The sequence below is a fragment of the Homo sapiens genome, chromosome 8 (assembly GCF_000001405.40).
Source record: "Homo sapiens chromosome 8, GRCh38.p14 Primary Assembly".
Lineage (NCBI taxonomy): Eukaryota > Metazoa > Chordata > Mammalia > Primates > Hominidae > Homo > Homo sapiens.
The window spans coordinates 122,309,821-122,324,684 of NC_000008.11; positions in this window are offsets into that span (position 1 = coordinate 122,309,821).

Consider the following 14,864-nt stretch of genomic DNA (forward strand, 5'->3'; position numbering starts at 1 on the left):
TTCTCAGTTCACAGATAAGATAGTTAGAGAGTTCAGATGGCAAGAGCTTAAGAAAACTATACAAGTAATTTTTAAAAAGCCAACCTATATTGAGTATTACTATATGACAGGTACCATACTATACCATTTGCACCCATTGTTGAATTTCATTTTTACAATAATTCATTTAGAAGGTTATTCTTATTCCCATTTTGCAAGTGAGGAAGCCTGCCCAAGTTCCACTAGTATGTGGCAGAGCCAAACTACACACCAGTCTATCTGCTTCAAAAGACAGTATCTTCAAGTATTCTAATATGTTTTAGACTTAGATAGTACATTTTAAAGAGTTATAAAATAAAGAAATGAATGTAAAATTTAATTTCTGACAATGCGTATGTTGGATGTGTATATCTGTGTGCATGTGGATGCATGTATACAAGTATTATGGTTAGATGGCAAGATCAGTGATTTCATGGAGTTATATTATCTCCGAAGCACCAAGAAGCTCCTTTATCAGAAATGCTGGGGACACTAGTCCCAAGGAATTTTAAAAATGTATGTCTTCAGTGTTCCCAACATTGAGCATCTCAATGCACAAATTCATTATAATCCCTGTAGTTCTGTTCCAGGCCCCAAGGGATAACAAAACTTCAAAGAATTTCTGGGTCATTCCCACTGCCAAGTTATATTTACTTGATTCAATACAGATGAATGTTTACTGGTCTTTATTTTCTGCCTTAAACATCTTGTTCTACAGAAACAACAACAAAAACAACAACAACAAGCAAAAGAAATCTCCTTGCTATTCTGCAGTATTCTACTAATCCACTACACAGTATCTCTGTCCTGGAAAGTTACACATGATTTACATATTCTTTCACCCAAGCCCCAAACTCCCATTGTTCTGCAGAGAGGACTTCAATCTTGTTCTGATGAATGATCCCCATCTAGATACAGAAACAATGGTTCAAGATACTCTCATACCTATCACAAGTAGGTGGGTTGATCTTAGCCCTAACCAACTCACTAAGTAATCAAGATTCCCCTGCCACTTTCACAAACTAGTTACTGTCTAAAGATAAAATGCTTTCATTTGAAGATTATAGAAAACAGAAGAGATGGAGTGGAGGGTGCTGAAAAAAAGTCATATATTAGAGTAAAACTGTCAAATGTGTGCTAATGACAATAGAAAGTATCTTGGGGAATTTATTTCCCTTATGTCAGGAATAAAACCTTAAAATCCCAGTGCCCAATCACTTGGCAACTCAGGCACTTACATAGATTTACGATAGGATTTTTTTTTCTAATTCAATATCAAGAGCTGTTTAGCCAGAAATGACTCTTGCACTTGATATGGGGAAGCAAAGCAGGAGTCTACTCTAATGCACACTTGATAAAACAAAGAAAATGTAGTGGACTTCCAGCCACAAAGAGCCCTGGGGAGCTTATCAGATAATGGAATCCTCTGCCTCTAGGCAGGGCTGCAGCAAAAGCCGCTTGAACCCAACCTACTTAGGGATAGATTAAAAATGCCATCCAGGGACATTGTCTACTTGACATCAATCACTGATGTGTTTAAAAAATTCACTCTTCCATGTTTTTTTCATCTCACATAGACTTCTTTTTTCTATGCAGCACCTTTGCCCAATTATTCCAGTGGCTTAAATGTCAAGACATTTAGATTCATTGCAACTCTGACATAAAAATTCTGCTAAAGAGAAATTCTTGTTAAAGTTATTAAGGTAAAGTTCATTTTCCCAGCTCTTCAAATATCCAGATGTTTGGCATCATGTAAGAGAGAAACATCAAAATAATTGCCTACATTTTCCCTAAATAACACATCCCTTATCTAACCCACTTAAAGAAAGATCATCTATCAAAATCTGAGATCAAACATTTCAAGCTATCTCAGAATCTGGGGTCAGAATGACTCCTTCCATAGGGAGAAGGAACATGTATTTATTGACAGCAGGTGCTGGCCAAGTAATTCCTCCCATTCAAAATTTTATAAAACATTAAGCAGCTATTTTTTAACAAATGGAGAGTACAACAAAAGAGAAGAAATGATAGACTATGTTTTTACATTAAACAATTTGATATTGTCTCAAAATTATCAATCAGCATGAATTATTTTTATAATTTAATTTTTAAAGTAAAAATATAATCACAAAAAACAGCCTTCTTTAGGCATATGCATTAGCTATGACTGTCATCAAAGACAACCATTGGCTTTGTCATCCTTTCAGATCACGGGCAGTGGGTGTCCCTTGGGACTTTTTGAGGTGCTAACACTGGAGAAGAAAAGCACACAGCTGGGAGGCTCTGGGAAGCAGTGAGTTCAGAAGTCAAATCAGAAAACTCAAGTCCAGAGATTAAAGATTGTATGTATCAGACTACCTCTCCAATTCACTGGAAAGAAAATAACCAGGAGTAGGACATCGGACCTGCTCTGCCTTCTCATGTCCTTAGCACTATCATTCAGTCCCATTCTGTTCTTGAACTCATCTCACTCAGGACAAGACAATTTTAGGAGTATCCGCTTGTGGGTCTGAAATGTCTGATGCTGCCATTAGCTTATGTGAATTGAGCTTGGAGCCATTAGCTTATGTGAATTGAGCTTGGAGAAGTCTTGTATTCCCATCCACTCACGGCGCCACAATCTTCTCCTCACATCCGTTCCTTCATTAACTTATCTTCTTCCTTACTTCCTGTTTGTTTAGCATATTCTTATTCTGAAAGTCCATTGACTTAACCCAGATCTTGATAACATACTCACACATTGAATGTGAAATCTCATTCAACCCTTTTATGGAAGATGAATTTCCCTGTGAGATGGTTTTGGTGCTAGATTGAGCTAAGGAGAGCTTTTCAACTATCACTAGCACAGCTTAATTTTGTCTGTGTTTTCAGAGACTTCTACATCTTTATAATCAGTTTTAGGCAAGTGGAAATTTTAAATAGAAACAAATGATTTTATACAACTCACCACTTGATACTTAACCATGACTCACTCAAGGTCAGCCATGGCTTCAGGTTCTACCTCCAGGTCTCTGCCTATAACTGAGAAAGATTTTTTGGTTGGTAGAAGCTGGAAGGAGTCATTCTTTCCTCCCAACCACCAATTCACTCAAGTGTGACTTTCAGCAATTAATTATCCCCAGCTTTACTTCCTATCTAGGATGACCAACAGTCCTGATGTATCCATAGCTGGCAGGTTTCCTGGAATATAGAACTCATAACTAAAACAGGGATAGGCCCTTTTCTGTGTCATCTCAGCTGTGGTTCTGAAAATTACCTCTGACACATTCTTACTACAAAATTGGCCAGATATATTCCAATAATTAACTTTGCCAGGTGAATGTAGCCAGACTCTGAAATATCAGGCGCCATTTCTGAATTGGTCCCTGCAGATTTCATAGTTAGTTCGAATTAAATAGAAAGCAAAATTTCTTTTGTTTTGATTTGTTTTCTCATGTTTTTAGCATTTAAAAAGTTATCTGTAATAGTAAGCCAATGTTTTAATTGCTTTTCTTAATTACCAATGAGGATAAGGTGTTTCTGTGTTTGAATAGAAGCCTTCTAAACAGAAGTTGAGTTTCAGTAGTAGATACTGGGGTGCACATCCCAGAAACCCCCTTTAGGATGAAGGCACTCATTCCCCCACCCTCTGGGAGTATTGGCTATTGATGGTTTACAGCTAAGTCCACCCCCAGGAATTGACCTAGACCACAGAAATATGTCTCACTCATCATTACACCTCCTCCGCAGAGGCAACACACATTTAAGAACTGTTTAATGCAGAAATACAAAGGCCTAGCCTCCTTGCTTCAGTTGAGGTCAACTCTGAAGGGCCATTTATGGTCCAGAGCTCCCAGTAGTATCAGCTGATGCCACTGTTGTAACCGCATCATAATTCAACCTATTTACTTTGTCCTTTTCTCTAGTTTTTTTTTTTAATAGGTGTTGAGCTCCAGAGCATCCTGTAATAAAATTTCTGATAATTCTCCATCTCAGACTCTTCCAGTGAATCTCAATTGAAGACAGTTTCCTAACACATCTTCAGATTCTATTTATGTAGTTGTAAGTGGTGGTCAGCTGCCTAGGGGGCATTTTAAAGATTATAAACACTTCTATCAACTTTACTTGATTGACTTCCCATGGACATCATGAGAAGTAGATATAGCAAGTCCACGACATTTGCAAAACCTAACACAAATTACACATTTGCAGATTGGTATATTAGAATTAAGAAAAAATTGATGTACTTTGGTGAGAAGATAAAAGTCCATCACCAGAATTATAAATAATTGTATAGGCCACACGCGGTGGCTCACACCTGTAATCCCAGCACTTTGGGAGGCCAAGGTGGACAGATTACCCGAGGTCAGGAGTTTGAGAACAGCCTGGCCAACATAGTGAAACCCCGTCTCTACTAAAAATACAAATGTTAGCCAGGCGTGGTAGCACACACCTGTAATCCCAGCTACTCAGGAGGCTGAGGCAAGAGAATTGCTTGAGCCTGGGTAACGGAGGTTGCAGTAAGCTGAGATCATGCCATTGCACTCCCGCCTGGCTGACAGAGTGAGACTCTGTCTCAAAAAAAAAAAAAAAAAAAAAGAATTGTATATCAGTAGGGTAATCACTGTCATGCTTTGCCCACATAATCATAATTTACACCTGTTGTTTATAAATAATTATTAATAGTGTCCCTTTTAACTCTCAAAAAGTTCCCAATTTGGACAAAAAAATAAAATGTATGCTTACCTTGTTATAAGAGGTTCTCCTCATTTTACAGATTAGTAAGTATGAGTATCCTATTTACTATGAGGAGATGGATAAATATGGAAAAAAGTACATACCAACAGCCAAATCACAATATATTGCTAAGGAACACTGTTTTCCTTTCTATGAACATCAGCAAATGGAGAAGGCAGAGTAGAATAAACTCAAAATCTATTTAAAGTGAAGATTTCCAGATACACATTGAGTCTTGGTTTTGGAGTCCCTTGCATGCCACTGATATTTCTTATTATTAACTCATGTTTTACCATTGCTTCTCTGGCAGAGAATCCTATCAATTGCCTGTGACTTTAATAACAGTACTGGAAACTGGAAAGCTTTTGTTTCTAGAGCAAGTACACAATTTGAAAGCTATTAGTGTGTCATCAATATACTACAACTTGTGAAGCTGTTCTTAGAAGTTCTCGCAGACACTAAATTCTTCCATGGAATTAGCTGTTGATTCTCTTGACTTTACAATGATTGAGCCCTTCATGAAGTTATATATAGAAATCAAAGAGAGGAAAATTTTATATCACTGAGGGGAAAAAGGGGATCACGTAAAACAATGTCACTCTGCAAAAGTGAGTACAGATGACTGTGCAATATATGAGACCAGATAGACGAAAAGATGGCAGCTGTAAAATAAAAATCCAGCCTAGCTCTAATGTCTTACAGAGCTTATTTTGGCAAGTTGTAATAAAAATCTTCCATTCACCCAGCCCTTACAAGGCTTTAAAGAGAAAGTAAAAAATAAAATAAAATAAAATAAAATAAAATAAAATAAAAGGATCATTTCCTGCACATTGACTCAATTAATTCCCCTCATTTGACTACCTGATTGTTTCTTAAAAGTTGTAAAAATAAATTTATCATAAGATTCTGAGCTTTTCTGGCAAGGTCACCAGCTGAACTGGAAGAGGAAAAACAGTGCTGAAGAAGAGATAAATCAGCCCACAAAAATGTCTTCAGTTGCCTCTACCTGTCAACTCAATGCCCACAGAGAGTGATGAGACAGAGTTATGTTCACCACAGTAAAGCATCAAGAAGCATTGGACACATGAATTCCATTGAAAGAGCATTGAGAGAGAGAGAAAAAAGGAAGCTAATTTTTTGGACTCTTAAAGGGACTCCAATAAAATAAATGGTATGGGATGGGGAGATGTATAAAGAGTTTGGAGAATGCAATTTACTCAAGGAGGTCAAACTCAAAAATGTTTGTCAGCTGTGACAGAAGGAAGCTGTGAGGTTCTAGCTGAAGCCGACCCCAGTCGTGCCCAGAATACAATATTATATTATAATTTCAAAAAGGCCACTATCCCTTTTTCCTAGAAAATTGAACCCAAATAATGGTACTACACATAGTGGGGCAACATCCTATAAGAGAAACACCCTAAAGGATGCAGATACCTGACTTTGTAATAATTACTGTGAGAGAGGAAGAAGACACAACCTGGAGGTGTTTGAGTCTCCTGGAGGAAGGAGCCCTTGGTTTCAGTGAGCAATGAAGTATAGGAGGAAGCTTTTGCAAAACTTAATCTGGAATTCTTACATCTAAATGTACATTTTCCACTAAATAGCAATGTAGGAATTTGGGGAACCATAGAAAGAAAGAAACTGGGCATATAATGGTGCACCCTTTAGGAAATTGGAGAAAGTGTTAGTAAGCGCTGCTATCCAGCGAGACTCATGTGTCCATTCAAGTTCACGCAGCGACAGCTTAAAGGATAAGTTCCTCTGAGCCTGTCCACAGCCACAGAACCCACACACTCTGCAGCAGGAGGAAAAGAAGCTTAAAGTTTGGCAATCATTAAGGCTAGTTCCTGGTGCAGAGTTTAGTAGTCTTTTCAGAAGACTCACAAGAATCTAAAATGGCTTTTGTTTTCTGAATAGGGTTTAATTTTATTCTAGATAAAATGCACAATTCAACGGAAATAGCACTTGACTTTGGGTTAGGAAACTGAGGTATGAGTCTAATCCCACCATTCACTTGTTGAACTAAGTGCTTTATGCACGTGATCTCATTTAATTCTATAAAGTAGCATTATCTTCGTTATTTGACACATGAGGAAGCTGAGGCACAGAAAGTTTATACAATCTGCCAAAAGCCCCATCAATAATAAGGGGAGTGCCAGGATTGAACCCAGGTGTGTCTGACCTCCAAGCCATCTTCTTATCATACAGGTGTAAGGAGCAGCAGACATGAAAGAGTAGTCAGCCATCATCCAATTGTTAGATAGGATCATTAATATCAACAATTGCAGTAAATAAAAATAATATTCCATTCAAAATAAGTATAGAAGAATAAAATGCCTAACATTTAGTAGTACATTGGATAGGCTCTAGGCTTGATACATGTATGCATTATTTATAATACTCGTGATCTGCCTGATTCTTTATTACAGCTTATTAATACTGAATCTCTGTGATACTCTGGAGTATAAAGAAAGAGAAAGGTCATGGCACCTACCCGTTTTGACCATGGCTCATTTTTTAGTGGCAACAAAGGAATCCAGTCATCATACTTGAGAAATGATGCTATACGAAGTGGCAAACTGTTGTCACACTCTAGGAAAAAAGGCTTTATTCCGTTAAAGCCCTGTGTTCTCCAGATTGAGAACTTTCTATTTTCATAATCCAGAAAATAGAAAGTCTTGAATTCCAAAAGATGAGACCAAGTGCTATGCTAACATTTTCATTTGAATAAATAATAACCAAAATGCTTTTTTAAGATTTTTTTTATTTAAAAAATAAAAGATTTCTAAAGAAAGGACATAGGAGATTAACTCTGCAACCCTGAGGTAAAACATTTCATGGAAAAGACCCCAAAAGCACTAACCATAATATGTATATGTATACACACACACATACACATATTGTACATCATAAAAATTAAAAATTATTTTTAAAAAAGACACAATAAAGAAAATGAATAAGCAAGCCATAGACTAGGAGAAAATATGAGGAATACATATATGTCACAAAAGGCTTGTAACTAAAATATATACAGGACTTCTACAACTCAATAATAAAAAAGAAAAACAATCCAATAAAAATAAACAAAATATTTAATAGACACTGCATAAAGAAATACAAATGGCCAAAACATTATATGAAAAAGTGATCAATATCAGTCATGAGGAAACTACAAATAAAAAGCAAAATGCGTTACTACTACAGATTCACTAGAATTGTGAAAAAAAATTTTAAATACCCTGACAATAGTAAGTGTTGGCAGGGGTATGACAAAACCAGAATTCTCATACGCTTTTGGTGGAGTGCAATTGGTATAACCAGTTTGCAAAATGGTTTGGTAGCTTCTTATGAACCTATGTATTTACCCAACACAAATAAAAATATATTTTGACATTATTTTGAAATGTTTGTAGCAACTTTATTATTAGTAGACAGAACTGGAAACAACCATAATGATTATGTATCAGAGAATGGGTAAAAAAAAAAAAACAGAACTAGTACATTGATATAATAGAATATTATGCAGCAATTAAAGGGAATAAACTACTGATACATGAGACAACATGAATGAATATGAATGAATCTTAAAAACACTATGCTAAGTAAAATCCCCAGACACGCAGTGTACATACTGTATGTTTCCATATATAGAGATATCTAAAAGAAAAATATGAATTTATGGTAATAGAAATTAGAGCAATGCTTATCTCTGGTGGGAAGGCAACTGACAAAAGTGGAACCTGAGAAAGTTTCTACAGTGATATAGATGTTTTTTCATCTTGATAGGTGTGTTGGTTACATGCATTCATTTGTCAAAACTGAACAGACAGTTCTATTAAGATCTGTGCATTTCACTGTATGCAATGTAAGAGAGTAATGATAAGGTACATGGACATAGTGATATAAATTAAGTGGATTTTGAAGAAGTAGAATTTTTGATCACTTCTGAGGAGTTAGTACTTTTATGATGAATTCTCATGTCCCAATTTGACAGAGGAAATGAGTCTAACACCAAACTGATTATGTTGGAGGATGAGACATGCCTTTGAAGTAATTATGAATTTCCCAGACAGATGAGGGGAAGGGTTTAAAAGGAAATGAAGTACCAGTTTTGGAATCCTCATCTGCTCCCCACTTGGTGTCCCCCAGAAGCATAACAGGGGACTTGGCAACAGACTCGCACACAAATGGGAGGAAACCCCTGCAAATGCTCTCAGCTCTACACACATGACTCCTACGATAACCCACAACCTCATCAGCCAAGTTTCACCCTTAAAAGCCTTCTTTTTTGCAATCTCTCCTATACGGTATGATTCATGATGTCCTCAGTCTATGACTCTAGTCTTCATAATGACTGTATCAACTCCATGACTGTGGGTTATTGCCTAATGGGCCAGATTCTCATGCTGTATCATAACTCTTGGGGAATCCAAGATGGAACAGAGCCCATGTTAGCAGGCTGATCACTGCAAATCTTCATCCAAATGCGTATGTAAATTTCAGAGCCCCCACAGAATGTGGGTGGCCAGAAATACATTTCTCTGTGGCTACTACGCCTACTGACTGCATAATTTCCTATTAAAAGTTATTTCCCTATTGACCCTGAATTGGACAGACCTACAATAAACTAAACTACTGTAAATAAGTGTAGTTGAAAAAAAAAATAAGTGTAGTTGGTCTTGCCTACTGAAGACATGTTGTTGGTGGTTTCTATAGAAATTCTATAACATAGGATAGGGGCTACTTGCCAACTCTAATCCATTGGCTATAGCTTTCTGGGTTGCATTACGCCCAGGTTTAGAATAAAGGAGATTAGTTCACAGTGATTTCCATGAGGTGAAGTGCTGAAGAGAATAACAGTACATCATGCTACCAATTTGCCATCTCTGGTACTGTTAAGAGAGATAGGAACTGGCTATGAAAAGACTTGAGCTCTGGTCCGTATGTGAAAATACTGCATCATTGTGGTTCTGACTTATTCTCAGAAATAACAGAGGTAAACTCATTAAGAGTTGATCTCTAAACACCACTCCACTTATATTATTCTTTGAATCATCAAATCTGCACCACTTTCCTCCTAGGTAGGCTCATGTCTTCCTGCTTTTTCACCCATCCCATAATACTCTTTAAAAAAGTACAGAAGAATATACACAAAGAATCAAAACAAAAACAAACTGTTTTTTCTTATCAATTGCCACCTTTTAAAATTCTCTCCATTTAAAAGCAATATATTTGGGTGAAAAATTTGGCTATTTTTTAAATCAATTATTTCTCTGACCCACCAGGGATTGTAGGCTGTAAACTAATACTATCATGCAGAATTTTTGGCCAGGTGCAGTGACTCGCGCCTGTAACCCCAGCACCTTGGGAGGCCGAAGCAGGAGGATTGCTTGAGCCCAGGAATTCAAGACCAGTCTGGACAACATAGCAAGACCCCACCTCAACAAAAATAAAAAAATTAACTGGGAATGGTGGTGCACATCTATAATCCCAGCTACTTGGGAGGCTGAAGGAGGAGGATCGCTTGACCCTAGGAGGTAGAGGTTTCATGTCGCTGCACTCCAGCCTGGGTAACAGAGTGAGACTTTGTATCAAAAAAATATTTTCACTATTCTATTGTGTTTCCTGAAGGAGCATACTATGAATATTTTCTCCATGATAATATTGTCATATGCTTTCCAGTTTGCAAACGATTTTATTTTCATTCTTTTATTTGAATCACACAAATCTATAAAGTTGGTGGTAGGTTATTATTACCTCATTCTACGGGTGAATAAAGATTGGGAAAATGAAGCAACTTGCACTGAACCAGCAAATGGAAGTACTGGAATTGAAATACACATATCCTGGCTAATCTAATATTCTCTGATGTTGGAGAATAGGATTTCAGTTCTACTTTCAAAGCCAATGGTCTTTCTACCTCTTGAACTGTACTAATTGGTTTACAGCCTAAAACCACTGGCCATATATCTGGAGTGATCAGAGGCTAAGGAACCATTTCCCTGGGTAGGGATATGATTGAGGAAATTCAAGCACTGAAAGCTCTTTTTTTTTTTTTTTTTTTTGAGACAGGGTCTCACTGTGCCACCCCCAGGCTGAAGTACAGTGGCACAATCTTGGCTTACCGCAGCCTCGACCTCCTGCGCTCAAGAGATCCTTCCACCTCAGCTTCCCAAGTAGCTGAGACTACAGGTGTGTGTCACCACACCTGGCTAATTTTCTGTTTATCTTTTATAGGGATGAAGTCTCACTATGTTGCCCAGGCTGGTCTGGAATTCCCAGGCTCAAGAAATCCTCTTACTTTGGCCTCCCAAAGTGCTGGGATTTATAGGTGTGAGCCACTGCACTTAGCCAGAAAAGATCACTTTTAAGGTTTATTCAAGGCCTAAAGCATTAGGATCAGCTGAATGACAAAAATAAATATGTTTTCTTTCCATTGTGTCCAAGTGATTTTTTAAAAAGTTTTTGCAGCCCTTCATTTTTGTTCTTTCTTTCACAGCATTTGTTTGATTTTCATACAAGGCAGGTAAAGAAAAGATTAGGGATTCACATATGAAAAAGCTTGGATTGCCACAGCAAAGTGCTTGCATTGACCATTCATGGGAAACAGTTCCCCAAACAAATAAGGAAGATTTTGAAAACTTGGTTTCACCAGCTATTGTTCGCTGCCACCATCTGCATTGGGGCCCTACTCTCCTGGGTGCAGAAGCAATAGATTCATAGAAGAAATATTTTTGTTTATATAACTAAAGGATAGAGGGACATCATTTAAAATTAGTTATCAGCACAAGAATACACAGGAGAAAAAAAGAGTCAATATTAGAACAATATCCAATCTTTTATTAGTATTTTCTAAATACTAGGCCATGACATTTCCCTGGACAAAGGTTCCATCACTATTAAGAGGATGGCTGGGACATAAAAACATATTTAATGACTATTGCAAATCTGTGTTTGTGTGTATGTTCACAGGTATGGATATGTCTATGCATGTGTGTATTTTGATACTTTTTAAATTTTCTGCCCACACAAATAAGTTATCAAATGGAAGCATTAATTATTTTGAAGAGATACAAATCAACTCTAAATAAGCTGCCATTCTTCAAATGTTGGCTATGATGACAAAAATAACAGTTAAGACTGGAAATATTAAATCTGAAAAAAATTATAAACCTAGGTATGTGCTTTCAAAGAGAGGAGTCACTCTGGCTGGAAAGAGAAGAAACAATCTCTTCCAGAAAAATATAAGAATGAAAAGACAGGAAGTCCACAAAGACTATTTTATAAGACCAATGGAATAAGACCAAATGTGTTAAGATCAATTACCATTCAGCTATATTGTAGGAGGAGGTAAGCAGACATTCAGGTGCAAAAATCATCAATTCTTCATTATTTTTATTTCCCCCAAGTATAAATGAAGTCAATGTCTACACAACCTCTGAACTTAAACTGACTTCAGTTTTGTCATGGTAATAGGTATTGTCATCATACATGCCAGCTTTCATAGACAAACCCAAGCTTAAATATTATGTCGCACTGAAGGAACTAACATAGAAATATCAGTATCTCAGCAAAATGTAGCTGATCAAGTTAATGCAGCAAACCTTTAAATGAAAATAAACTTAAATCAGAAAAAAATGAGAGCTACAAAAAATGGAGATGCAAAAAATTAATTTCCATTATTCATGGAAATGTTTTCACAATGCACACACAAACACACATACACAAAATAGCTATATTCTACATGTCTCTACTTATAAGTATGTGTAGGTAGGCTGGGCGCAGTGGCTCACGCCTGTAATCCCAGCACTTTGGGAGTTCGAGACCAGCCTGGCCAACATGGTGAAACCCGGTCTCTACTAAAAATACAAAAATTAGCCAAGCGAGGTGGCATGTGCCTGTAATCCCAGCTACTCGGGAGGCTGAGACAGGAGAATTGCTTGAGCCTGGGAGGTGGAGGTTGCAGTGAGGCAAGATCACACCACTGCACTCCAGCCTGGGTGACAGAGAGAGACTCCATCTCAAAAAAAAAAAAATAGTATGTGTAAGTAGTGCTTTTCTAATGATAAAATCTAAGTTCTGTTAAGTATAAACATCCTCACAATTCTAACTTCAATTAAGGTCTTAAAATGACATTATAATACTAGTGAATTTTTAATGGTGCTATTGTATTCAGCTCCAATTTGAAATTATTTTAAATACAGTTTAGATTATTTTACTAGAAACTTCCATTTTATACTCTGGATGAGTATAAAAACCAAGAAAAGGAGTGTGTTGTCAGTAAGGCTTTTCAAATGCACTATCCTTCTTCAAAGAAACATGGAAATCCTTAGGGAACATTTTTGTACTTAATGTTGCAGTGGAATGAACATTGCTCAGTGTGGGAAAAATGTTATAGCTCGTAATCACAGACACGTAGTTATCTGACAGCTCTATAGCATCCAGAAGTCCCAGAAAAAAAATCATTTCTAAAAGACTTTTTAATAGAGTCTAAAGTAAATAAGACATTATTTGAATATATTATTTTAAAACTTAGTAAGTTTGATATTTTTTATTGCATCTTGATAGAAAAAGTGACTGAGAGGAGATGAGCCTAGAAAGGTAGTTAGAGCCATAGAATAGAAGATTATAAATACCATATAAGGAAATATGTACAAAATTCTTTCATTTATGTATCAGCAAAGATTTATTGAGAACGTACTACATGGGAGGCACTATGCTAGGGTGCTGGGAATATAGTGATAGACATGTTCTATCACTATATGAACAGGAAATGTTCATTTCCTGCCCTCATGAAACTTACATTCCAGTAATGACATTCTCAATGGGTTGAAAAGAAAATATTAACTTTCAAAGTAAAACGTAAATAGAGGTAATTCCTGCAGGCAAACAGAAACCATAAACATGTATTTAGCATAGGAATAGAAGAGGAACATTTAAGATTTGGGGAATAATAACCACACCATCCTCTCCACCACCAAGTTTAGAAAGAGTTGACAGGCAGACACAAGAGTCAGACAAATGGAAATGAAAATTTCAGTTCTATTGCTGACAAATATTCACTGGAGAAATAGTTCAACATGGCCCTGCCACTGGATTTTCTAAGATCTCTGCAGCCATCAAGTCTAGCTTGGGATAACCCACTCATGAAGAAACATGAGTTTACCAAGCTAGCTCTCCCCAGATTACTGCCTCATATTCAGTTGCCCCAAATACGTCAGGCTCCAGAGACGAAGAGAAAGAGAAATCATCTCCAGCCCTATCTGCAGAAGGCAGATCACTCTTCTACTCCAGTAAGGTGTATCTGGGTAAGGCAGGAGAAAGATATACTACAGCTAAAAGTAGGCAGATCAAAAGAGAGAACCTTAAAAAGCTAAGCCTTTTCTCAACATCACAGATCAAACATCCTTTCTCTTCCCTTGATAAGGACAAAGTACTGGATAGGGGGGCAGAGTAAAAGGATTCCATCACGAGAGGCCCCCTCATAGAAAAGAAGACATAGAAACAGCCCCTCCCCACAACTATGCATTAGGCTGACAATAGAATGAGTGATCTAGTTTAATGTAAAAAAAAAATAAAAAGCTCTATGAAAATAGACATTTTTAAAAACCATCCCAAAGATGAAAACCCTGAGACCCAGAGAAATGCAAAAGTTCACTCAAGTTCATCAGCATGAAACTGGTCTCCAAACTTAAGGCATAGCTTAGGTCTTGCTACTTCTACTTCCAAGCATCCATGGACTTATTCTGCAAGTCCATGCCTTCTCCAAAAGACAAAATCATGACATTGATGGTTAAATTTTGATTGGCTTTATGATTTTGATAATTGATTCACAAATTTGCTTTTGATTCTATAGTTATATACGAGCTGTGAGCACAAGGACTTTATAGCTATCTTTATATTGCTCATATTCACATAATATTAAAGTAAAAAAATCTCAACAATGAAAATCTATGAGATATTTTTGTCTTTTAAAATGGCAATATACGTGATTAATATTTAAGAATTATTACTCGACTCCATAATGCATCTCAAGAAAATGATATTTGTCTCAGAAAATTCTGAAAGGAGTATGTGGTGTGGCTTTTGGGAAGAGATTAAAAAATAAGAGATTTGTTTGGGGCTTATTT